At 56.6% G+C, this 24,314-nt stretch overlaps 1 protein-coding gene and 2 long non-coding RNA genes across 6 annotated transcripts in view, besides 7 other annotated features; 1 reads left to right on the top strand and 2 right to left on the bottom strand.

The window, feature by feature from the left end:
- The window catches only part of RTEL1-TNFRSF6B (RTEL1-TNFRSF6B readthrough (NMD candidate)), a 40,889-nt gene extending 19,247 nt beyond the window's left edge, over positions 1 to 21,642 (bottom strand). The window contains exons 1-12 of the long non-coding RNA NR_037882.1: positions 20,986 to 21,642; positions 19,948 to 20,219; positions 17,956 to 18,154; positions 17,509 to 17,602; positions 16,825 to 16,906; positions 16,563 to 16,623; positions 13,373 to 13,448; positions 11,899 to 11,983; positions 6,831 to 6,896; positions 5,359 to 5,512; positions 1,269 to 1,307; positions 1,106 to 1,184 (exon numbers count right to left, since the gene is read on the bottom strand). This is a non-coding gene — a long non-coding RNA (RTEL1-TNFRSF6B readthrough (NMD candidate)). The remainder of the gene's footprint in view (positions 1 to 1,105; positions 1,185 to 1,268; positions 1,308 to 5,358; positions 5,513 to 6,830; positions 6,897 to 11,898; positions 11,984 to 13,372; positions 13,449 to 16,562; positions 16,624 to 16,824; positions 16,907 to 17,508; positions 17,603 to 17,955; positions 18,155 to 19,947; positions 20,220 to 20,985) is intronic.
- The window catches only part of RTEL1 (regulator of telomere elongation helicase 1), a 38,444-nt gene extending 16,802 nt beyond the window's left edge, over positions 1 to 21,642 (bottom strand). For 2 of the 4 annotated variants that reach the window (NM_001283009.2, NM_016434.4), the window contains exons 1-12: positions 20,986 to 21,140; positions 19,948 to 20,219; positions 17,956 to 18,154; positions 17,509 to 17,602; positions 16,825 to 16,906; positions 16,563 to 16,623; positions 13,373 to 13,448; positions 11,899 to 11,983; positions 6,831 to 6,896; positions 5,359 to 5,512; positions 1,269 to 1,307; positions 1,106 to 1,184 (exon numbers count right to left, since the gene is read on the bottom strand). In NM_001283009.2, the coding sequence (NP_001269938.1) occupies positions 1,106 to 1,184; positions 1,269 to 1,307; positions 5,359 to 5,512; positions 6,831 to 6,896; positions 11,899 to 11,983; positions 13,373 to 13,448; positions 16,563 to 16,623; positions 16,825 to 16,906; positions 17,509 to 17,602; positions 17,956 to 18,154; positions 19,948 to 20,049 (1,037 nt within the window). In that variant the 5' untranslated portion in view covers positions 20,050 to 20,219; positions 20,986 to 21,140. Of the gene's footprint in view, positions 1 to 1,105; positions 1,185 to 1,268; positions 1,308 to 5,358; positions 5,513 to 6,830; positions 6,897 to 11,898; positions 11,984 to 13,372; positions 13,449 to 16,562; positions 16,624 to 16,824; positions 16,979 to 17,508; positions 17,603 to 17,955; positions 18,155 to 19,947; positions 20,220 to 20,985 lie in introns of all 4 variants that reach the window. The other 2 variants (NM_032957.5, NM_001283010.1) reach the window with 2 other exon arrangements.
- LOC124904954 (uncharacterized) lies at positions 1,077 to 8,096 on the top strand. The gene is made up of 2 exons (XR_007067717.1): positions 1,077 to 1,808; positions 6,903 to 8,096. It is a non-coding gene; the product is annotated as an uncharacterized LOC124904954 (long non-coding RNA).
- Positions 2,795 to 2,939: an enhancer, noted in NCBI's record as "145 bp 20:62307938 sequence used in MPRA reporter constructs". NCBI's record gives its function as "activates a minimal TATA-containing promoter with rs79981941 allelic activity by MPRAs in C283T melanocytes {active_cell/tissue: C283T}" and the evidence as "EXISTENCE:reporter gene assay evidence [ECO:0000049][PMID:36423637]".
- Position 2,867: a transcriptional cis regulatory region, noted in NCBI's record as "rs79981941 or 20:62307938 MPRA-significant variant associated with a GWAS melanoma risk locus at 20q13.33". NCBI's record gives its function as "allelic transcriptional activity by MPRAs in C283T melanocytes {active_cell/tissue: C283T}" and the evidence as "EXISTENCE:reporter gene assay evidence [ECO:0000049][PMID:36423637]".
- Positions 20,516 to 20,565: an enhancer, noted in NCBI's record as "active region_18241". NCBI's record gives its function as "activates an Ori minimal core promoter by ATAC-STARR-seq in GM12878 lymphoblastoid cells {active_cell/tissue: GM12878}" and the evidence as "EXISTENCE:reporter gene assay evidence [ECO:0000049][PMID:35858748]".
- Positions 20,716 to 20,785: an enhancer, noted in NCBI's record as "active region_18240". NCBI's record gives its function as "activates an Ori minimal core promoter by ATAC-STARR-seq in GM12878 lymphoblastoid cells {active_cell/tissue: GM12878}" and the evidence as "EXISTENCE:reporter gene assay evidence [ECO:0000049][PMID:35858748]".
- Positions 20,906 to 21,065: an enhancer, noted in NCBI's record as "active region_18239". NCBI's record gives its function as "activates an Ori minimal core promoter by ATAC-STARR-seq in GM12878 lymphoblastoid cells {active_cell/tissue: GM12878}" and the evidence as "EXISTENCE:reporter gene assay evidence [ECO:0000049][PMID:35858748]".
- Positions 21,086 to 21,175: an enhancer, noted in NCBI's record as "active region_18238". NCBI's record gives its function as "activates an Ori minimal core promoter by ATAC-STARR-seq in GM12878 lymphoblastoid cells {active_cell/tissue: GM12878}" and the evidence as "EXISTENCE:reporter gene assay evidence [ECO:0000049][PMID:35858748]".
- Positions 21,206 to 21,445: an enhancer, noted in NCBI's record as "active region_18237". NCBI's record gives its function as "activates an Ori minimal core promoter by ATAC-STARR-seq in GM12878 lymphoblastoid cells {active_cell/tissue: GM12878}" and the evidence as "EXISTENCE:reporter gene assay evidence [ECO:0000049][PMID:35858748]".

The following is a 24,314-nucleotide window of genomic DNA, read 5'->3' as shown; positions in this document are numbered from 1 at the left end:
TGTCAGGGGCTTCTGGGAGGCGGTGGCTCTGGGCAGAGTCCCCAAAGCTTTGGAGAGTGACAGTGATGGGGCAGCAGAAGCTACAGGAGGGGACCCTGAGGGTGCAGGGTGGCCGAGGAGCCAGGCCAGAGCCTTGAGCATTACGCTGAGGACAGTGGCTCCACCTGGAAGCAACTGGGATTCCCCCGACCAGGTCGGCGCTCAGGCAGAACACGCTCCACCTCGGCGGCTGTGCGCTCAGGAGAGCCCCCACACAGGCCCCAGCCCTGACTCCTCATCTGCCTGCAGGACAGACAGCAAACCCTGCTGCCCTGGCTGCGGAGAAGACTGGAGCCCCACGGAGCGTTCAGAACGTTCCAGGCCTCCCGGAGTCCAAAAGAGGTGGTGGCTGGGACACTCATCGTCCTAACAAGAAGGTCTCGTTCTAACAGGCACCTGTGCTCAAATGACGGACTGGACCAGGGTCCAGGGAAAGGCCTGGAGGAGGAGAAACTGCAGGAAACCCAGCGGCCCCGCGTGGGAGAGTGTGCTGTTCCGTGGGTGTGTGTGTGCTGTCTGTGGGAGTGTGTGTGCTGTTCCGTGGGAGAGTCTGCTGTTCCGTGGGAGTGTGTGCCGTTCCGTGGGTGTGTGTGCTGTTCCGTGGGAGTGTGTGTGCTGTTCCGTGGGAGAGTGTGCTGTTCCGTGGGAGAGTGTGCCGTTCCGTGGGAGTGTGTGCCGTTCCGTGGGTGTGTGTGCTGTTCCGTGGGAGTGTGTGTGCTGTTCCGTGGGTGTGTGTGCCGTTCCGTGGGTGTGTGTGCTGTTCCGTGGGAGTGTGTGTGCTGTTCGTGGGAGTGTGTGTGCTGTTCGTGGGAGTGTGTGTGCTGTTCCATGGGTGTGTGTGCCGTTCCGTGGGGGGCTGTGTGCTGTCCCGTGGGAGTGTGTGCTGCTCCTCTCAACATCTCAGCAACCAGATCATGCAAAGCAGGTGCTCCTCCCAGGTCTCAAAAAGGGAAAACAGGCCTGAAAACAGGCCTCACTCGTGATGTGACAGCCCAGGACTGCACCATGGCCCGTTTCTAGCTCTAGGCTGGGCCTGCAGTGAAGGGGCTGGCTCCCCGCCTCTCACCTCCCTGGCTTGGTGACACCGCTGTCGTCTCCAGGCAGCTCAACAGCATCGATGGCCCCCTCCAGGCGCAGCAGGATCACTGTGGGTCGAGGAGGTGTCACCCACCTCCTCGCAAGGAGGAGGCCCCACCCAGCTGCAAGGAGGCGGGGAGGGCAACACTTACTCTTCAGCTTTGCAATGTCTTCCAGCTCCATGTTCAGCCCTGGGCAAGAGAAAGGCAGCAAAGGCAGTCTGCATCACGCTCGTGCCAACAACCCCGCCCTTGAGAACCAGGATTCCTGGCATGGAAAAAAGGACACCAACATGGAAAGGAAGAGGCCACACAGAATCCATGCAGGCCAAATCCACCAACATGGGAAGGAAGAGGCCACACAGAATCCGTGCAGGCCAAATCCACCAACAGGGGAAGGAAGAGGCCACACAGAATCCGTGCAGGCCAAATCCACCAACAGGGGAAGGAAGAGGCCACACAGAATCCGTGCAGGCCAAATCCACCAACAGGGGAAGGAAGAGGCCACACAGAATCCGTGCAGGCCAAATCCACCAACAGGGGAAGGAAGAGGCCACACAGAATCCGTGCAGGCCAAATCCACCAACAGGGGAAGGAAGAGGCCACACAGAATCCGTGCAGGCCAAATCCACCAACAGGCGAAGGAAGAGGCTACACAGGCCAAATCCAAACTGGAGACACCAAGAGGAGCAGGTGTTTTATCTTTATTTATCTATTCATTTTTGAGACAGGGTGTCACTCTGTCACCCAGGCAGGGGTGCAGCAGCGCCATCTCTGCTCACTGCAACCTCCATGTCCCAGGTTCAAGCAATTCTCGTGTCTGTCTCCCGACTAGCTGGGACTATAGGTGTGCGCCACCATGCCCGGCTAATTTTCGCATTTTTAGTAGAGATGGGGTTTCACCCTGTTGCTCAGGCTGGTCTTAAACTCCTGACCTCAGGTGATCCACCAGTCTTGGTCTCCCAAAGTGCTGGGATTACCGCTGAGCCCTTATGCCTGGCCGGGTGTTTGACCTTTAGAATTAACATTTGTGAACACACCTGTGCGTATGGCTGTATCTCCACGAAAACACCCAGTAACAACGACCAACCCAGTAACCATGACCAACCCGCTGCCGCATGGCGGGTCTTGAAATACCGTCTTGCAGGAAAAGAAAGCAGGGCTTCTTGGAGACTTGGCTGATTCCAGGTCTGGAGCAGGACATGAGTGTGAAAAATCCTGACTCCCAGACAGCAAAGAGGCCACAACCGCCGGGGTCAGGACACAAGAGCCCACATGAAAACACCTCAAGGTGCAGCAACTGAGGTCAGGAGTGAGATTCAGGAGGGAGCATGGGGCAGGACCAATCCCCACGTTCACACACAAACATTCAGTGATGACACTTGATTGACTGATTGATTTTTGAGACGGAGTCTCGCTCTGTCGCCAGGCTGGAGTGCAATGGTGCGATCTCGGCTCACTGCAACCTCCGCCTCCTGGGTTCAAGTGATTCTCCTGCCTCAGCCTCCCAAGTAGCTGGGATTACAAGCATGCACCACCACACCTGGCTAATTTTTTTGTATTTTTAGTAGAGACGGGGTTTCACCGTGTTGGCCAGGATGGTCTCAATCTCTGACCTCGTGATCCGCCTGCCTGGGCCTCCCAAAGTGCTGGGATGACAGGTGTGAGACAGCACACCCGGCCCACCCCCAGCATTTGTCCCACCTTTCCTGTGTGAATGGGATCACCACATAGCTGATATGGTGCAGGGCGTGGTCCTAAGTTATTCCTGCTAACTGACTAGATGATGGAATTAGCACACTGCCATCTTGCAAGCCCCCAGTGATTAACATATTCAGGTGTTCAGCAGCAACAATGTTCACATGGGAAGAAACGGGAAAGGAGATACTGTGAGCCTTCTGATAGAAAGGACGTCCCATCTGGAGCCCGGCAAACGGTGGCCGCAGTCTAACTGGGGCCCTCAAGCCACCTAAGTTCAGAGTAAACCGGGGAACTCGTGTGGCTGCCCCTCCTGTACAGATTCCGACTCTGCAGGGTAAACGGCCTGGGCTCTTCAATAAATAAAGTGTGAGGAAAAGAATGGACCCTGCCAAGCACAGTGGCACACGCCTGTAGTCCCAGGAGCTTGGGAGGCCGAGGCAGGAGGATCACTTGAGCCCAAGAGGTGGAGGCTGCAGGAGGTGGAGGCTGCAGTGAGCCGTGATGGCACCACCGCTCTCCAGCCTGGGTGACAGAGTGAGACCCCATCTCCAAAGGGGTGGGGGAACAGATAGGGATGAAAACTGAAGTTCTGGTCCTGAATGAGATGGCAGAAGCCCACCCCACCACACGTCCCCCACTAGTTACAACAAAAAGCCCTGCACATCAAGTAACTAACAAAACTGAAGAGTGGAGAAGGCCCCGTGGTGATGTTCACACAGGCCTGGGGGTGGGTGGATGTTTCTCCCACGTTATGTAAGCGATGAAATGGCAGCTGCCGAGATGAGGGAAGGAGACCTGTCACTCTCCCCACCCTGCGCCAAGCGAAGGATGGAAAGAGGCGGCCGTCCACCCCGTTAGAGAGGTGGGGTTGGGGGACTGTGGAGAGGAGGGAGGTGGAGCGTTCAAAGTCCCAGGAACCCCTTCCCCCACTGCAACTCCCTGCGTGGCAATCTTGAGAGCCGGTGGCAGTGGTGCACACCTGTGGTCCCGGCGCTTTAAGACGCTGAGACGGGAAGATCCCATGAGCCCAGGAGGCCGAGGCTACAGGGAACTTTGATTGTACCACCACATTCCAGCCTGGGCAACAGAGTGAGACCCTGTCACTTAAATATATGTATATATATATATATATAAAGGGATTCTAAAGCCAGAACACCTGATAACTTCTGTACTAAACAAATGCCAACTTTGCAAACTCACTCTCTACCAAGCAGCCATCCTGGTGAGAAGGGTGAGGACGGGGCTCCCCAGGGTCCAGGGTCCCCGTGGTGTCCGTCCACATGTGCGATTTTAAAGGAAAATGGGGGAAGCTGATGCTGTTTACACCTGGAGATGCTCACGAGCAAGTAGTGTCACAGCAGAACCTATGAAGATATTCACACAGACTCCTAGTCAGCTGTTTACAGAAGCCATGTAGAAAATATGGACAAAGGCCGGGCGTGGCGGCTCACGCCTGTAATCCCAGCACTTTGGGAGGCCGAAGCGGGTGGATCACGTGAGGTCAGGAGTTCGAGACCAGCCTGGCCAACACGGAGAAACCATCTCTACTAAAAATACAAAATTAGCTGGGCGTGGTGGTGCACGCCTGTGATCCCAGCTACTTGGGAGGCTGAGGCAGGAGAATTGCTTGAACCCAGGAGGCGGAGGTTGCAGTGAGCCAAGATCGCGCCATTGCACTCCAGCCTGGGCAACAAAAGTGAAACTCCATCTCAAAAAAAAAAAAAAGAAAGAAAATATAGACCAACTGACAACATCCATGAAGGGTTTCCACGTTTTCCACGTATGCCGTGACTAGCGCTGTGTGGAAATACACCTCTGGACAAACACTGGGAAGGAACCTACAGGCAGAGCAGCTGATGCATGCCAGATTTGTGGGTCATTTAAAGATGCAAAATGCCCTTACAGTGAATATATTTAGTTTTCCTTTTTTTTTTTTTTGAGATGGCCTCACTCTGCCGCCCAGGCTGGAGTGCAGTGGAGTCATCTGGGGCACCGGAAGCTCTGCCTCCCAGGCTCAAGCACGCCTCCCACTTCGGCCTCCGGAAAAGCTTGGACCACAGGAGCACACCACCACACCTGGCTAATTTTTTGGCAGGGGCGAGGTTCCGCCATGTTGCCCAGGCTGGTCTCAAACTCCTGGCCTCAAGCGATGCTCCCAACTCAGCTTCACAAAGTAGAGTTTTCCAGTTTTACACAGTAGAGGCCAAGTTGATACTGGCTGGGAGAAGACATAGGTCTTTGGAAAATACCAGAACTACTGAACAATACCAGCCCTTCCACAGGCTACAGGACCCTGAAGAATTCACACCCAAGAAGCCTCTGAGAGAAGCGGATGCCCTGCAGTGCCAGCCTGAATAGATGGTGCCCAGGCCGACCACACACAGCCACAGGGCAGGCTGCCCACTGCAGTAGCACGGGCCTCAGGACCAAGCAGCCTGGCTATGAACGCACCTGGGCTGGGGGAGTCCGTGCTGAACTCCGGGTGGGGCTCACCCTGCAGCAGCGCAGGCCTCAGGACCAAGCAGTCTGGCTATGAACGCACCTGGGCTGGGGGAGTCCGCGCTGAACTCCGGGTGGGGCTCACCCTGCTGCGCTGCCTTGGTCTGCTCCTCCAGCACCTGGTCTATGACGTCCAGTCCTGAAGCCAGGTCATGGGGAGTCAGGTCAAAGGATGCCGATTCTTCACACATCTTCTCCTAGAGCCCAAGCACACCCGAATCACCACAGAACAGGACAGGATCGGGGGTTCCAGAAAGCAGAAATGGGGTGGGGGTGCAGAAGGCACAGGAGGCTGACAGCCAAGTTCCCAAAGCCTTGGCCTGGGGTCTGTAAAAGGCCACAAGTAGGTCCAAACATGACTGTGTGGCCCACACCAATATTTAGAAACGATTGTTTCAGGCCGGGCGCGGTGGCTCACACCTGTAATCCCAGCACTTTGGGAGGCCAAGGTGGGCAGATCACTTGAGCTCAGGGGTTCAAGACCAGCCTGGGCAACGCTGGGAAACCCCGCCTCTACAAAAAATACAAAAATTAGCCGGGCGTGGTGGTGTGCACCTGTAGTCCCGGCTACTCGGGAGGCTGAGGTGGGAGGATGGCTTGAGCCCAGGAGGTGGAGGTTGCAGTGGGCCAAGATCATACCACTGAACTCCAGCCTGGACGACAGAAGGAGACCCTGTCTCAACAAACAAACAAACAATTATTTCACTGGAATTGCCAATTATTCTTTTTGATTTTATTTTTTTTGAGACGGAGTCTTGCTCTGTCACCAGGCTGGAGTACAGTGGTGTGATCTTGGCTCATTGCAACCTCTACCTCCTGGGTTCGAGTGATTCTCCTGCCTCAGCCTCCTGAGTAGCTGGGACTATAGGCACACGCCACCACGCCCAGCTAATTTTTTTGTATTTTTAGTAGAGACGGTGTTTCACTATGTTGGCCAGGATGGTCTTGATCTCTTGACCTCGTGATCCGCCCACCTCAGCCTCCCAAAGTGCTGGGATTATAGGCATGAGCTAGCGCGCCCAGTCAACATTTTTTTTTTTGACACAGAATCCCGCTTTGTCACCCAGGCTGGAATGCAGTGGTGTGATCCTGGCTCACTGCAGCCTCTGCCTCCAAGGTTCAAGCGATTCTCCTGCCTCAGTCTCAAGCCATGTGGCCGGAAGGGCAGAGACACTGCAGGCAAGACCACAAGCCTGCTGCTGCCGAGGGCAGAGGAGACAGCCCTGGCCCAGGCTGACCCCGAGCTGGCTGGAGGGAAAGGGTCTGGTGAGCGGCCTGTGGGGGCCCTGCGCCTGACGGGCAGGTCCCTGGCCCAGCTGGCCAGTCTCCAGCCCCAGCAGAGGCATCGGATCAGGGCGGGAGGGGGTGGCAGAAGCTCCTGGTGTGCTCAGTCCCCAGTCCTGGGCACCTAGGGCTTCAGGAGTTTGGCCAGAGCCCCTCCAGAAAGGTTTGCGTGGCTCTTGACAAAAAGGCCAGAAGCAATAGGAGGTGTTTAGGAGGCCAGCGGAGACTCACCACGTTGTGAGCTTCGTCAAAGATCACGACTGTCCCCTTCAGGTCAATGTTGTGTGCTCTGCGGCTCTACAGGAGGAAGAGAAGGGACGCAGCGCTGGAGCTCACAGAGGCCGGGAAAGAGGGAAGCCAAGACATGTGCAGCAGGCATCGAACATCACAAGCGCAGATGAGCAACAGCGCCGGCGATGTCGAGAGCAGAGGCCAGACCTGGATGACCTGGCAACACCGCCCCACCCTAACCAGCAGTTCGCCATACCGGGAGACGCTCCTCCACAGCATGGAAAGGCACGTGCCACGCTCAGCAAGACAGACGGCCACGATGCCCTGGGAGCCCCCGGCCACCGCAGTCAGGAAGCCACAGACCAGAGGAGCCAGGAAGACCCAGACCCAGCAGTTCCCTGCCCCAGCCCCACTCAGGGAGATTTACAAACCCAACTCCCAGCCAGGCGCGGTGGCTCACGCCTGTAATCCCAGCACTTTGGGAGGCCGAGGCGGGCGGATCACGAGGTCAGGAGTTCAAGACCAGCCTGGCCAACATGGTAAAACCCCGTCTCTACTAAAAATACAAAAATTAGCAGGGGGTGGTGGTGTGTGCCTGTAATCCCAGCTACTCAGAAGGCTGAGGCAGGAGAATCGCTTTCATCTGGGAGGCAGAGGTTAATGTGAGCCGAGATTGTGTCACTGCACTCCAGCCTAGGCGACAGAGTGAGACTTCATCTCAAAAACAAAACAAAACAAAACAAAACCCAACTCCCAGGTCCCACCCACAGAGTGTCATGGGAGCAATCTGGGGTGGGGTCCAGCTTTGGTACTTTTAAATTTTCACACATTGGCCGGGCATGGTGGCTCACGCCTGCAAGCCCAGCACTTTCGGAGGCCGAGGCAGGCGGATCACGAGGTCAGGAGATCGAGACCAGCCTGGCGAACACTGTGAAACCCCGTCTCTACTAAAAATACAAAAAAAAAAAAAAAATTAGCCAGGCGTGGTGGCGGGCGCCTGTAGTCCCAGCTACTCGGGAGGCTGAGGCAGGAGAATGGCGTGAACCCAGGAGGCAGAGCTTGCAGTGAGTGGAGATCGCACCACTGCACTCTAGCCTGGGTGACAGAGCAAGACCCCGTCTCAAAAAAAAAAATTTCACACATTAAGATGTTCATTTTAAGTGTACTGAGTTCTGGCAGTTATGTGCACCATATAACCACCAGCCCCACCCCTGCCTTTTCTATTAATAGAGTGTCACATAAATGGAATAAAACAGTAGGTCCAGCCGGGTGCGGTGGTTCATGCCTGCAACCTCAGCACTTTGGGAGGCCAAAGTGAGTGGATGACAAGGTCAGGAGTTTGGGACCAGCCTGGCCAACATGGCGAACTGCCGTCTCTACTGAAAATACAAAAATTAGCCGGGTGTGGTGGCGGGTGCCTGTAGTCCCAGCTACTCGGAAGGCTGAGGCAGGAGAACTGTTTGAACCCAAGAGGCGGAAGCTGCAGTGAGCCAAGACCACACCACTGCACTCCAGCCTGCACCACAGAGCGAGACTCCATTTCAAAACAAAAAACAAAAACACAAAAAACAGTAGGTCCTCCTCAATGGGCCTCTCTGGGTTAGCATGTCCGAGACTCATCGGCTCCCTGCTGCTGTGTGACCACAGTCCACGCCCGTGGCTGCTGTTAGTGTTCGGGTACCACGGTCTGTCCATTCACCTGTGGATGGGCTCACGCGGGCTGCTTCCCAGTTTTGGCAACTGCAAACAAAACTCTGGTAAACCTGCACACTGAAGTCTTTTCTTTTTTCTTTTTTTTTTTTTTTGAGATGGGGTCTCCCTATGTTGCCTAGGCTGGTCTCAAACTCCTGGGCTTAAGCGATCCCCCAGCCTTGGCCCCTAAAGTTCTGGGATTACAGGCGTGAGCCACTGAGCCTGGCCACATATGAATCTTTGAACACGTCTTCCCTTCTCCCGGCTCGGCTGTTTGCCACACGTTTGTGGAGTGGCTACACAACTTCACAGCGATGGATGAGATCCAGCTGTTCCACATCCTCATGCCACACTCAGGGCTTCTGAATTTCAGCCATGCCAGTGGGACCACAGTGTCGGCTCCCCGTGGCTTTAATCTGCCTTCTCCTATGACTGGAGATGCTGGGCGACTTTCCATGTGCTCAACTGGTCATTCCATCCACCTTGGTGAAACGTCTGTCCGGATGCTCTCCCAGTGGTTAACTGGCCATTCCACCCATCTTGGCGAAACGTCTGTCCGGATGCTCTCCCAGTGGTTAACTGGCCATTCCACCCATCTTGGCGAAACGTCTGTCCGGATGCTCTCCCAGTGGTTAACTGGCCATTCCACCCATCTTGGCGAAACGTCTGTCCGGATGCTCTCCCAGTGGTTAACTGGCCATTCCACCCATCTTGGCGAAACGTCTGTCCGGATGCTCTCCCAGTGGTTAACTGGCCATTCCACCCATCTTGGCGAAACGTCTGTCCGGATGCTCTCCCAGTGGTTAACTGGCCATTCCACCCATCTTGGCGAAACGTCTGTCCGGATGCTCTCCCAGTGGTTAACTGGCCATTCCACCCATCTTGGCGAAACGTCTGTCCGGATGCTCTCCCAGTGGTTAACTGGCCATTCCACCCATCTTGGCGAAACGTCTGTCCGGATGCTCTCCCAGTGGTTAACTGGCCATTCCACCCATCTTGGCGAAACGTCTGTCCGGATGCTCTCCCAGTGGTTAACTGGCCATTCCACCCATCTTGGCGAAACGTCTGTCCGGATGCTCTCCCAGTGGTTAACTGGCCATTCCACCCATCTTGGCGAAACGTCTGTCCGGATGCTCTCCCAGTGGTTAACTGGCCATTCCACCCATCTTGGCGAAACGTCTGTCCGGATGCTCTCCCAGTGGTTAACTGGCCATTCCACCCATCTTGGCGAAACGTCTGTCCGGATGCTCTCCCAGTGGTTAACTGGCCATTCCACCCATCTTGGTGAAACGTCTGTCCAGATCCCTTCCCAGTGGTTAAGTGGGTTGTTTGCTTAGTTATGGGAGAATTTTACATACTCTGGTCAAAGGTCCTTTCAAATCAGAGGAGGGCTGAAAAAATTTTTTAAGTCCTTTGAAAGAAGTATTTTCTCCCTTTCTTTAACTGCTTTTTCATTTTCTCAACTCTTCCACAGAGTTGAAGCTTTAAATTTTGGTGAAGTCTAAATTTTAATGTTTTTCTTCATGGCTAGTGCCTTGTGTATCCATACTAAGAAATCTCTGCCTACCCCAAAGTTGCAAAGACCTCCCCCATGTTCCTTTCTATAACTTTTAGTTTAGCTTTTACATTTAGGTTTATACAGGGTAAAACAAGAGTTAAGATTCACTGTTTTCCGAACAGATATCCAGCTGTTCTTAGCACCATTTTTTCAGAAAACCAGAAATCAACCTTCATTTCCTCTCTCAATTAAATTGGCATGTTTGTCAAAAAACAATCACCAAGGGCCAGGCATGGTGGCGCACGCCTGTAATCCCAGCTACTCGGGAGGCTGATGTGGGAGAATCGCTAGAACCTAGGGGCGGGGGCTGCAGTGAGCCGAGATGGTGCCACTGCACTCCAACCTGGGTGACAGAGTGAGATTCCAACTGAAAAAAAAAACAATGACCACATGCGTGTGGGTCAGCTTGAGCTTGCTGCCTTCTCCATGGCCTGCAGGCCTGTGCCTGAGCTGGGCCATCTCCACCTCCACTCCTGCAGCTTTAGAGGAGTCTTGAAACCAGCGAGGTGAGTCCTCCAGCTCTGTTCTTCTTCACGGTCATCTTGCTGTTTTAGATCTTCTGCGTTTCCGTGAAAGTGTTAGACTCGGCTTACCAGCTGTGATATAACTGTCCCAGGGAGGGGCCTGGTTGGGTTAGAAGCTCTCCAGATGGTTCCCAGGGGCAGCCAGGGCTCAAAGCACCGAGTCACCCACAACCACGGCAAACCTCACCAGCTCTCTGTGGGGTTCTGCTACAGCTTCCCAGGAGTCGGCCCCCCAGCCGCCCCCACTCACCTCTTCCCTTGCTCTGCTGCACCTGCTGAGGCTCCCCTCAGACCCACCAGCATTCCCCACCTCCCGCCGACATCGCACTTGGGCCCGCTTGGCTCGGTCTCCGCCTCCTCCCTCTGCTCTATTTCCCTTCAGTATCATCAGCTCACGTGCTTACTCTTTTGCTGTCCACCTGTCCCCACCACTAGAATCAAAGCTCCATGTGAGTGAAGCCAGTCTTGCTATGCCTGGAATAGCACCCAGCATGATGAGCTCTCAATAAATATACACCCCGAGAATGAGCGAACCAACGACGGGATCTGGAAACGTCACCACGCCATCGTCACGTGAACACACAAACCATTGACCCGTGGCGTGTGATCCCACCTGCACTAAGTAAAAAGTGTGGGGCACAAAAGCAGGGCACATGGGGAGGAGGGCAGCAGGGCCGGGCACACACTGGGAGGAGGGGAGTTGAGTGTGGGGCCGGGCACATGCTGGCGGGGGGAGTGAGCGTGGGGCTGGGCACACGGGGCGGAAGGGAGTGGGGCTGGGCACACACTGGGAGGAGGGGAGTGAGTGTCAGGCCGGGCACATGCTGTGGGGGGAGTGAGTGTGGGGCCGGGCATGCACTGGGAAGAGGGGAGTGAGTGTGAAGCCGGGCACATGCTGGGAGGGGGAGTGAGTGTGGGGCCGGGCACGCGCTGGGAAGAGGGGAGTCAGTGGGCTTCCTGTGTTCTCGGTGCCTCCCATGGCCTGACGTGAAGGAGAGAACCTGAGCTGTCAGGATCAAGAGCGGGCACTGGCCTATGGACCACAGCCTGGAGGTCTCTCCTCACTCCCACCAGCCTGCCCGCTCCCAGACTGCTCAGAAAACTGACCTGTGGCCTGGGGCTGCTCACAAGTGTGTCTGGCCAGGTTGAGCCCCTGCCCAGTGACAGAGGTGAGTCCTCCCACCCAGGCCTGCTGATCTAAGGCCCTGAAGCAGCAAAGGCTCGGACAGCTGTTCCCAAGCCCAGGGACACCCCTGGACATCAGGAGTCGTCAGCTACAGGACTGAGCCCCCACCTTGGCATCCAACAAGTAATTGTACGGCATGAATATGATGTCGGCTTGCTGCTTCAGGTTCCGGGACAGGTAGTAAGGGCACACCCTGGGAAGGAGAGAGGAGAAGATCCTGTGAGCACCCCATGCAGGGGACGGTGCCCCGAGGCCGCCATGTCTTCTGACCCGGAAGGAGCCCTCATCCTGCACGTAGGGCCCAGGTGGGAAGCTGCTGCCTGGGATGGATGGGAGTCCACGTGAGTTTCTGACCAAGGGATGGGGAGTCCATGTGAGTTTCCGACCAAGGGATGGGGAGTCCTCGTGAGTTTCCGACCATGTAAATCGTCGTCTCTTTAAAAACTCGATGGAAAAGTAAAACCAACCCTATTCCTGGATAGAAACAAACACAACGCAGAACCACTAAGAAAAAGCAGAGCTGGGCCGGGCGCGGTGGCTCACTCCTGTAATCCCAGCACTTTGGGAGGCCGAGGTGGGCGGATCACAAGGTCAGAAGATCGAGACCATCCTGGCTAACACGGTGAAACCCCGTCTCTACTAAAAATACAGAAAATTAGCCAGACGTGGTGGCGGGCACCTGTAGTCCCAGCTACTCGGGAGGCTGAGGCAGGAGAATGGCGTGAACTCGGGAGGCGGAGCTTGCAGTGAGCCGAGATCGCACCACTGCACTCCAGCCTGGGCGACAGAGCGAGACTCCGTCTCAAAAAAAAAAAAAAAAAAAAAAAGAGCTGGCCAGGCATGGGGTCTCACGCCTGTAATCCCAGCACTTTGGGAGGCCAAGGCAGGTGGAACTCTCGAGCTCAGGAGACTGGCCTGAGCAACAGAGTGAGACCCTGTCTGTACAAAAAATACAAAAATTAACCAGGCATGGTGGTGTGTGCCTGCAGTCCCGGCTACTTGGGAGGCTGAGGTGGGAAAATCGCTTGAGCCTGGGAGGCTGAGGCTGCAGTGAGCCAAGACTGTGACACTGCACTGCAGCCTGGGTAGCAGAGCGAGACCCTGTTTCAAAAAAAAGGGGGAGGGAGGTTTCCCCCTCAATATAAGAAGAGCTTTATTATAACTTGAATCTCTGAAGCTGTAAGAGGTAGACATAGGAGACATCTGCTGTCCTCAAAAGAACAAGGCCGAGCTGCCAGCACCAGCATGGGAAGCTATACCCACAACGCTGAGTGAAAACAGCCAACTGCAGGACAGTCTGTGCAGACAAAACTGCGCGTGCTTCCGCACAGACACAGGCCTGCAGGGCTCCGTCCACACTCCACGGTGGCCACCGGGGATGGCTGAGGGCCAGGGAAGAGGGAGACAATTTTTTACTCTATCTTCCTCAGAGCTGCTTAAACTTTTTCGTACTGAATGGTGGTTAGTTTCATAATTTAAAAAGGAACAAAGAAAAGTGAAGAAATATATCCGGGCCTCCACAGGTCACAGGAGAGCTGGGCCATGGAAGGACAGTGGTCGTGGCCTCACTGAGGGGTCTCACCTGTGCTTGCTTCCGCTCTTGACCAAGTCCTCAATGTCCAGGATGGGGCTGGCCAGCTCCTGCTCCAGGCTTTTTTCTGCAGGTGTGAGGCAGGGGTAAACACACACCCTCAGGGTCCACTAAGTCCCAGACCACAGGGGGATGCCCAGGACAGAACGGCTCCTACACGGCGGGCAGGGCTGGGCGTCCCCCACCAACCGTGAACGCGCCACAAAGCACCCACTGAGGGTCTCAGGTGCCCAAGAGAGGCCCCCACCCGAGTGATCCTGAGGGAATCCTCCTCTGCCCCCAGAAGGCCTGAGGTTCAGGGTGGACCAGACGGAGGCCAGCAGGATCCCGAGGGTTCTACGCATCCTCTCCGAGACAGCCCAAGACAGGACAGGAGTGGCGGCTACACTCAGCCCTCCTCAGGGCAGGGAAGAACAGCCCCTCAGCCTATCGCCCCAACCCACAGAGGCATCTCCCACAAACCCCTGCAGGTGCCCCTGTGATTAGCACCGTCACTCAGCTTCCCTGCCAACCACAACAGGCCCAGAACTTCCAGCTAAGGGAGAGCCAGGTTTTCCTGGGCTAAACAGTGGCCCACTCCCCTCTGCAGCATGGCAGCCCTGGCAAAGGACACTGCCTGTACTGGCGGAGAGGCCCCGGGCAGAAAAGGCTTCAGAAGTCAGAGTCTGGGGGATGTCCTGCCCCTCCCTTGCCTCTACAGTACAGGCCCCCCAAACTGGAACCACAAGAATTCCTTAGGGAGTTGCTTAAACACAGACAGAACCAGATACCTCTTCTAACAAGCACCCCAGAGTCACAGGGCAGCCACGTGGGGCAATGGGGCCTCCCCCAGCTCCCGACTCCATCATGGCTGCTTTGTGCCTGTCCCCAGGAGGTGCCAGGCCCCCCGAGGGCCAGGACTCAGCTGCAGAGGCCAGAAGCGCACACATATGCACACGTGCACATACACACACACACACACTCACACACACCAGCGATGACCCAACCCCAGATACTCCCAGGGATAGCAGGGAAGGCAGGGGAGGAAAAGCACACCCCTGGGCAGCACCATAGCAACAGACCAGCCAATCAGCAGGCACTGCCGCACAGCGGCACTTGCCAAACCTTGCCTGGCGGAGAGCTGAGGGCGGGGCGAGGACAGGAGCTGCGAGGGGAAGGGGCACGAGGGGCGGGGCCGTCCCAGAGGCTCTGCCCCAGGCTGACCCCAAGCTTGCTGTCCCCAACCAGAGTCCTCACAGGACGCAGGCCAGGAAGGGTGCCAGCTCTCCAGCTGTCTCCTCATTCGCCCAAAATACCTGCCTCCCTTCCTCTCAGACCCCTCCAGGAGCTGCAGCCCACTCTGAAGATGCTCAGGCCGGTGCAGGTGCTGCAGACACCCCCTCACAGCCTGTCCGGTGGCAGACAGGGTGCGAAGGTTCACGGCTAGGCAACCTCCCGCCAGGTCGGGCAGTGAGAGCCCAAGCCAAGGGGGACAGGCAGGGGCTGGCCTGTGTCTTCCTGGTCTGAGTCCACAGGCCTGGAGGAGGAGACAGATGGGGGCCCCAATACCCAGAGGCCTAACACAGACGGAAGCAGCACCAGGAGGCAGTCAGAGGCCTCCCCACCAGGTCCCAGGCCCAGCATCCCCACCAGGTACCAGGCCCAGCGTCCCCACCAGGTCCCAGGCCCAGCAGCCACCGGGGCACTGCCCTTGTCCAGGACCACGGCCGGCCAGGCCCATGCTCAGCGTTCCATGCTATCCCAAGGACCCCCGCTGCATGGGACTGGGGACACCCAGCAGGCACTCCTGTCCTGGAAATCCAGGTGAGGACCTCGGAAATGACGCCTGCTTGAGAATTTCCATCAGCACATCTGCCCAACCCCCCGTCCCAGAGTCACGTCCTGCAGGCATCACCGGGACGAGCCGGCAGCTCCTGTCAGGGAACCTGGGGGCACAAAGGCAGAGCCCCTTCTTAGGACCAACAAAAAGGCCTGGACAACCACACATCAAGATGACTGAGGGTCCTTGGTGCCACCAGACCAAAAACCACAGCGAACAAGAAGCAACACAGAGGATGTCTCCAGCAACACAGCACATGCCTCCAGTAAGCGGGAGCCTCCCTGCAGGCCCATGTTCCGCCCACCCTGTCCCTCCAAGGGCCAGGGCCCAGAAACGCCTGGTAGTGGGTCATGCGGGACCACCTGGCTCAGTCTCTGCCAGGGGAGCGCCGCCCTAAATACAAGAGCAGCTTCAGGGTCCTCAGTCCTGGCACACTGAGCACTCAGCAAACGTGAGTGCAGAAAGCAGCCCACAGGACCGCCGATGCCTTCTGAGTGCTCCGGGGCCACCTCACCTGAGGCTTGAGCCCCAACTGAGGCAGGAAACAGAGGGAACCCTGATCCCACAGAAGCACAGACCGCGCCGACTGCACAGATGCCACCCTCAGGTCACAGAAACTGTAAGGGCAGCCAACGGGGGTGCACCCTGCCACTGTCTCTAGGACCCCGTGATGAGCCCCAGAAGCCCTTGACATACCCGAGGGGCAGCCACGTGGGTGGAGAAGCACCCCCGGCCCTCACAGGCTGTGGCCACGTGCAGTCACAGGGCAAGCTGCCCCGGCCGGCTCCTGTCACTCACATCCCGTCTCCAGAAGAGGCCCCAAGGCATCCCGTGTTGGACCCACAGGACTCAGCCTGGAGTCACACTCAGGGCCATAATTTTCCGCAGCAAGGTCAGCACAGGAAAAAGACACACGGGGCAGGGTCGCGGGAGGCCAGACACGGCTTCCAGGACACCCTCCCAAGATGGTATGAGGGCCGGTCACTGGAGCACCTGCTGCTGGGCAAGCAACAAAGTCCCCGAAGAGAAAGCCGGTGTTCAGCAAAACCCCTACTGTTTGCACCAGCAGGTTAGGTGCAGGGAGACCCTCTCATCAGGAAATGGAGGGAGCCTTCCCAAAATCCAAGGCCCCAGGCACCAGCCAGAGGCAGTCTTGCCGGCTGGCTGTCTCAGACCACTGTGTGAGCTCTTCCACACAGAAGTCTAACATGGGTGGCCCCGAGTCAGAAGACAGGGCCCAGGTACATGGCCGCACTGGCCGCCCCACCGGGCAAGCACAACCAGGCTGTGACACCACTGAGCTCCACCCTGAGAGGCTGCACACACTCCAACCCGACCCTGGTCCCACCCAGCTGCTTGTACCTTCTACGTTGTTGTAGAAATGACAGGAGCGACTTGCCACCTTCTTACGGCACAAGTGGATCTGTGGGAGGAAGGGCAGAGTGCGCAGCTGAAGCACGGCCAAGAAAGGACCGAAGCCAGTCCCCACCCCCACCAGGTCCTCCCCTGCAGTCCCCCAGTGAACTTCAAACCCTAGCCCAGCGGGAGCGCAGCCTGGGGCTCTGGACACCCAGCAGCACTCGCCTGTCGGACACTGAGCCGGAGCGGGAGCCCAGGAGCCTACCTGTAGATGGTTACTCTCTTGTTTCTTCACCTCAGGATGGATGCACAGCTGCTCCCGGGAGCCCAGCACACACACCTTAGGCCTGGTGGGAGAGAGCACCGTGGGTCGAGGAGGAGCTGTCTCCAACACCCACAGCGTGGCCCTGCAGCGTGAGCTGTATGGAGACACGCAGGAGCCTCGGCGGTCAGAGGAAGTGAGCATAACTGAAACGTGGCCCGGGCGTAGGAGGGAGCTAGAAGACGAGCGGGGGTACTGGACAGAGGGAGGAGATTCGACAGCTTCCACAGCACCCTGCCACTGGTCCGGCCACAGGAACCCGACAGAACACCAAGACTCTGCTGGGCTCTGACAAGCAGCAGGGCCTCCTCCTACTTCATGTGCAAAGCTGCACTGGGGGCCAGCCCTGACCTACTGCACAGCTGCTACAACAGCACCTGCGAGGAGCTCAGGACGCCCGCCCAAGGTCAGCACACAGATGCAAAGCTGCTTCCTCACAAGTAATGGGCATTGGAGGCAGCCCAGGCCGCACCCCACCCCTGGGCACCAGCGCTCTGCACACTTCGGGGGAGCGTCTAGAAAGACCACCACCCTCCACCACAGCACAGCATGGGGCTGTGGACTCAGCACCATGCCAAGCTGGTTCTCTTGAGGACCCCGAGACAGGTGTAAACTCGTCTGACCCACCGGTAGGAGGTGTTCCGAAGCTCGTTGATGACCTGTGTGAGTTGCGAGTGGGTCCTGGAGGCGTAAATAATCTTTGGGATGTCCGTGTAGCAAGCTGACCAGACACAAGCAAGCACAGAAGTCACGGTTCTCAGACAACGTTCTCACGTATCAAAGGCAGGTGGCATTCGGCTAACTCGGCCCTGCAGACAGCCAAGAATCTGACACCCCAGATACTGGTTTATCAAAAATGGGTGAAGTGGGCATCTGCCGTGCCCTAATTCAGCAAAAAAGCCCAACCCTAGGTTTACACCCACGATGGCGAGAAATTATACAGCAGCTAAAAAATTCTCCTTGAGTTCTGCTTGAGAGACGGCAGGAGTCCCCATGGGCCCACCCCACCCTCAGCGCCATCCCTTGCCAACCATCCCCACAGGAGGCCAGGAGAGGCCTGGGAACTAGGGTCACCTATGGGGTCTCCAGCAGCAGCAGCAGCGTTGCCCCAGGATGACAAGGCCCGATCCGGGAAAAGCTCTCCTTGCGCCCTCTCGGCAATCTTGCGGGCAGAGATGCCGTCTCGGAGGTGTTCTCGCCAGGCCAGCGTGGTGCACAGCAGGCACAGCGTCTTCCCTGTACCCGTAGGGCTCTCCAGGATGCCATTCACCTTCTGAACGGAGTTCGGAGCAAGGGTTACGGGGAAGCCAGGAAGAGGCGAGGCCACACAAGCTGCCCTGAGACAAGCTTCGGCAGCCAGCGGGCAGCTCTTTGCAGATGCAGAGGCCACTGCCAGGTGGCGAGAGCCCTGTGGGACCGCGGAGAAGTCCACAGGCAAGTCCCACTCTTGCCCTAAAGGGCGTGAAGCAACTCAGCCGCCATTAGCAAACGATTTGCAGAACGTTACCCAAAACACGACACTATTTTTCAGCTTAAATAGTAAGATGACTAATTAGGTGTCAAGTCTCAAAATAGGAAACTGTTCTGCGTTTCTGGATCCAAACATTTATGCTGTCCTATCTGACGTCCTACATACAAGCTCTCAGACGGGAACCTGAGCAGGAAACTCGGGGAGGGGAAGGGTGTGAGCCGGGTACAAGAGGGCACCTCAAGGAACCCAGGAGAAGGCAACCTGCACCACTGCCACCTCCCTGCACCCCCGAGGTTCAAAGACCTTCCAAGTGAGGCTGGCCACCGGCTGCCCCTCTAATGGAAATGCTTCCTCCTGACCCGTGAATATCAGCTGCTCCTCAGAGAGGCCCCCAAGGCACTCCTAAGTCTGTCACCCTCAAGGACTGTAGGGAAAAGAGAGATCAGACTGTTACTGTGTCTATGTAGAAAGGGAAGACATAACACACTCCATTTTGACCTGTACCCTGAACAATTGCTTTGCCCTAAGATGCTGTTAATCTGTAACTTTGCCCCAGCCTTGAGCTCACAGAAACATGTGTTGTATGGAATCAAGGTTTAAGGGATCTAGAGCTGTGCAGAACGTGCCTTGTTAACAATATGTTTACAGGCAGTATGCTTGGTAAAAGTCATCGCCATTCTCCAGTCTCGATAAACCAGGGGCACGATGCACTGCGGAAAGCCGCAGGGACCTCTGCCCTGGAAAGCCGGGTATTGCCCAAGGTTTCTCTCCATGTGATAGTCTGAAATATGGCCTCGTGGGATGGGAAAGACCTGACAGTCCCCCAGCCCAACACCCGTGAAGGGTCTGTGCTGAGGATTAGTAAAAGAGGAAAGCCTCTTGCAGTCGAGATAGAGGAAGGCCACTGTCTCCTGCCTGCCCCTGGGAACTGAATGTTTCGGTATAAAACCCGATTGTACATTTGTTCAATTCTGAGATAGGAGAAAAGCCGCCCTGTGGCAGGAGGCGAGACATATTGGCAGCAATGCTGCTCTGTTACTCTTTACTCCACCGAGATGTTTGGGTGGAGAAAAGCATAAAACTAGCCTACGTGCACATCCAGGCATAGTACCTTCCCTTGAACTTATTTGTGACCCAGATTCCTTTGCTCACGTTTTCTTGCTGACCTTCTCCCCACTATCACCTTGCTGTCCTGCCGCATTCCTCTTGCTGAGATAGTGAAAATAGTAATTAATGAATACTGAGGAAACTCAGAGACTGGTGCCGGTGCAGGTCCTCTGTATGCTGAGCGCCGGTCCCCTGGGCCCACTTTTCTCTCTATACTTTGTCTCTGTGTCTTATTCATTTTCTCAGTCTCTCGTCCCGCCTGATGAGAAATACCCACAGGTGTGGAGGGGCCGGCCCCCTTCAAAGGACGATCGTTTTTACTTGTCAATCCTCTCTCTGACCCCACCTGGAACACCAGCCCTTTTTATGACAGACGCTGCCTCTGGCCCGGAGGGGCCTGGCTGGAATGGGCCGGGAGAGGGAAGCACACCCCGTCCTGGCTGAAGCTCCACCCACCCGCAGTCCTTTCCTCGGGGCCTGTGCTCTACCTGCTGCAGACATTCCAGGACCTTGGTCATGTACTCCTGTTGGCATTTGTAGGGCTGGAAAGGGAAGTCTACGGTCACACCATTCAGGACTATCTTGGGCATATCAGCCTGTTCTCAGAAGGGCACAGAGCGTGGCTGAGGGGCAGGCTATTCGGGTCTGTGCGAAAAAACCACTCCGAACATCTTAGGGTCTCGGGCACTCCTGGTAAGCGATGCGAGCATGTGCACTGGGACACAACGCTGTTCTCTTCGAGAATCCCTATGGCACAGACCTGGGAAAGACAGTAAGACTCTGTTTGTAGACAGCCTTTGTGGGTACCGGGCTACTTTCCCAGGCGTTTCCATCAGTCCCTCCTGCGGAGAGGGTTGGAGAGCAACCCTGGTATATCCCATCTCGAGGAGCTGGCGGGGCGAAGATGCGAAGTGGCTGGGCCTTGCCTTATCCTCCCGCCCCACAACTCCGTCCTTCTCTGGAAAAGACGCCCACAGTGCTGCAAGTTCCGCCTGCAGTAATTCCGCGACTTCCACAAGAGCGTGAGGGCTGAAGAGGCAAGCGGCACCCCTCCCGGCCTCACCAGGCGCAACGTCAGAGCGGAGGGTCTGAACCTCCGGCCCTGCCTCTCCAGCCCTCTGCCCTCCTGGCTGGCTGGAGTCCATTCCCCATCCGCCCGGGTGGGCAACCAGATGCAGCCAAAGTAGCGAAAGAGCATGCCGGGATGCCAACCCGTGCAGCCCTCAGCAAATCACTCAACTTCTCTAAGCCTCAATCCCGCCCGGGAACTGGGACTAACAGAACAGACGCGGACACACTGAATGTCGGCCCTTCCCTCCAGCCCCGGTCAAGGGCTCAGCCAACGCCGCGGCGCCAGCGCCACGAGCGCAGGAAACTACAGGTCCCAAAATGCAGCGCGGCCAATCCGCCGACCCGCGGCCCCGAGGGCGGCTTGGGGCCTGCCGGGAGCTGTAGTTTCGAAAAACCGCAACGCGCCTACGAGCCGCTCGGGTAAAAGAACCACTTGTAGGGTCACTGCGACTCACTGCTCACTTGTCTCCGCGGCGAACCTTCCAGAACCGGGGTCCCTCAGGAACTCAACCGACTCCAGTCGAGGGCCGCCACCCGTCCCCAGCTGTCAGCCAGCTCAGAGTTTTCGCGGGCAGAGGCGCGCAGTCGGCGCTGAGCCCACTGCACTTCCGCCCCCCACTTCCGGTCCGTTGCTTTGTGCTCCCGGCGGAAACTGTTCCCCCGCGGAGGGGGTCCGCCTGCTCTTCGGCTCCTCCAGGCCTACACGGCGTTTTGCGCGTTCTGTGTCCGGCTCCGCTGGCCAGTGAACCTCACTTCCATCGCCCACAGGCAGAAATCTGGGGTCCCGCCCGTCTCCTCCCTTGATGTCATTCCCCCACCAGGGTCTGCGTTCCACTACCGCCTCTCTAGGCCGAGCCACCACCATTGCCCGGAGAGCTGCACGGGCCTCCTCCCCAGAGGCATCTTTTTACTGCTCGAGTGTGAGCCGACCGCTTTCCTGAAAATTTGAAAACGGCTGCGCCTTGCCCAGGACCCGGCTCCTGAGAGCCCTGACCGCCCCCTCTCCTTCCTCTCCTGCGTTCCAGCTTCTGCTCGGCTCACTGTCCCGCAGTGGTCCCGGCGGGCCTCCCTGAGTCCCCAGCACCCGGCACTGGCTGGCAGCAGGGCTGACTCCAAGAGCGAGGCCCGCACCGTTCTGTGGGGTCAGCCCAGCGTCACGGATGTTTGTCTCAGGCGGCCCCAGCTCCCATGCCCCAGAAGGCCCCAGAAGGCCCCAGGAGGGAGTTGGCGCTGCGTGACCGCGCACGGCCGGCAGGCAGCACTTCTTCGTGGCTTCTTCATGGCTGTGTTTAATGTCCACTGACGGCACATGCGAATGCCATGCGTGCCCACGCTCCTGGGTGTGAGATAGTGCTCGGAGAAGCCCCAGCACTCACTGGCACCCAGCCCCATGTGCCTGTTGTGGTGAAGGAACTGCAGGCTGCCTATCTGAGACTCGGCAGGGAGTTGAAGATGAGGAGACCAGCCACACACACTCGTTGAATGAATGGGCACCAAGCACAAGTTTCAGTGCCCCCCATACATGCTGATATGGTTCGGCTCTGTGTCTCCACCCAAGTCTCACCTCGAATTGTAATCCCCACGTGTGGAGGGAGGGACCTGGAGGGAGGTGGTTGGATCATGCGGTCAGTTTCCTCCAGGCTGTTCTGACAGTGAGTGCTCAGGAGACCCGATGGTTTAAAAGTGGCAGTTTCCCCTTCTCTCTCTCTTTCTCCTGCCGCCATGTACGACCTGGGAACTGGGACTAACATAGACTTCACCTTCTGCCATGATTCTTTTTTCTTTGAGACAGAGTTTTGGCTTTTTGCCCAGGCTGGAGTGCAGTGGCACAATCTTGGCTCACTGCAACCTCCACCTCCTGGGTTCAAGTGATTCTCCTGCCTCAGCCTCTCAAGTAGCTGGGATTACAGGTGTGCACCACTAAGCCCGGCTAATTTTTTATATTTTTAGTAGAGATGGAGTTTGACCGTGTTGGCCAGGCAGGTCTTGAACTCCTGACCTCAGGTGATCCACCCGCCTCGGCCTCCCAAAGTGCTGGGATTACAGGCGTGAGCCACCGCGCCCAGCCAGATAAGTCCTCTCATTGTCCACACTTTCTGGGTGAGAAAGTGAGGCACAGAGCGTTGAGCAGATTGCCCAGAGCCTGCTCAGGAGCCAGGAGTTTACCTTTTGCAGCCACACATCTCATCTCCTGAGAGCAGTGGCCAGAAAAGGCTGTCCTGTGGACTGAGCTGAAGTCTGAGTCATCTGCTCCTTGCCAGCTGCTATAGGAGCGTGCTGGCCTGGGGTGGTCAGGAACTCCTGTACCCCTGCCCTCTTCCTCTAATTGCTGACGTACCCACAGCTCCAGCATACAGCAGGTGCTTGACAGATGTCTGTTGAATGACTGAGTGTCCTGCTGAGATATAGGGCTCCTTCTAGGAGCCAGAGTTAATTTCTTTCTTTCTTTTTTTTTTTTGAGACAGAGTCTTGCTCTGTCGCCCAGGCTGGAATAGAGTGGTGCGATCTCGGCTCCCTGCAACCTCCACCTCCTGGGTTCAAGCGATTCTCCTGCCTCAGCCTCCTGAGTAGCTGGGATTACAGGTGCATGCCACCACGCCCGGCTAATTTTTGTATTTTTAGTAGAGATGGGGTTTCATCATGTTGGTCAGGCTGGTCTTGAACTCCTGACCTCGTGATCTGCCCACCTCAGCCTCCCAAAGTGTTAAGATTACAGGTGTGGGCCACCACGCCCAGCCAAGCCAGAGTTAATTTCAAGAATGCAGAGGTCTGATAAAAGTCACACTTTATGAAAAACATTTTTTTTTTTGAGGTGGAGTCTTGATATTGTTGCCCAGGCTGGAGTGCAGTGGTGGGATCTCGGCTCACTGCAACCTCTGCCTCCTGGATTCAAGTGATTCTCCTGCTTCAGCCTCCAAAGTAGCTGAGATTACAGGCACCTGCCACCACACCTGGCTAATTTTTGTATTTTTAGGGTAGATGGGGTTTCACCATGTTGGCCAGGCTGGTCTCAAACTCCTGACCTCAGGTGATCTGCCCACCTCGGCCCCCCAAAGTGTTGGGATTACAGTTGTGAGCCACTGCACCCAGTCAAAACATTTTTTTAACTAGCACTAATGTGCATGTGAAAAACATCTTTGAAATGCTCGTGCACTTTCTGCATTTGATCTTGGTGAGAAGTCAAAATCTGCTCCAAGACCTGGCACTATATTGGGGCAAACAGTCAGTACAGCTATTGTGTGCCTGCCAGCATGCTGTCATTACTCCTATTGCGTGTGCCTGCCAGTGCACTGAGAGTCAGTACACCTATGGCATGTGCCTGCTAGTGTGCTGTCAGTACAGCTGTTGTGTATGCCTGCTAGCACGCTGACAGTCAGTATGGCTGACAGTCAGTACCCCATTGCGTGTGCCTGCCTAGGTGCTGACAGTCAGTACCCCTGTTGTGTGTTCCTGCTAGTGCACACTGTGCACATCTACTGTGTTCCTGGCACTATGCCACGGGCTTCCACACACCTGGTCCCTGTGCTCCAGATGAGGACACAGAGGCTCAGAGAGGGCCTGGCCAGAGTCACAATGAGTGTGAGGCATTGCGGTGCTCTGAGCCTGACTGGGTGGGTCCTACCCCACCCACATGAGAAGACTCTGGAGGTCCCAGAGAGGGCTACTTCTCTTGATCCCTAGCACCTGAGCTCCAGCACCCGGGGCTGGAGTCTGCCTGAAGGATGCTGACCATCCCCAACTGCTACTGTGGTGGCCAACAGGGAGGACACAGCTGCTGTGGTGG

The sequence above is a fragment of the Homo sapiens genome, chromosome 20, assembly GCF_000001405.40.
Source record: "Homo sapiens chromosome 20, GRCh38.p14 Primary Assembly".
Lineage (NCBI taxonomy): Eukaryota > Metazoa > Chordata > Mammalia > Primates > Hominidae > Homo > Homo sapiens.
This window is presented reverse-complemented; position numbering and strand designations above follow the sequence as displayed.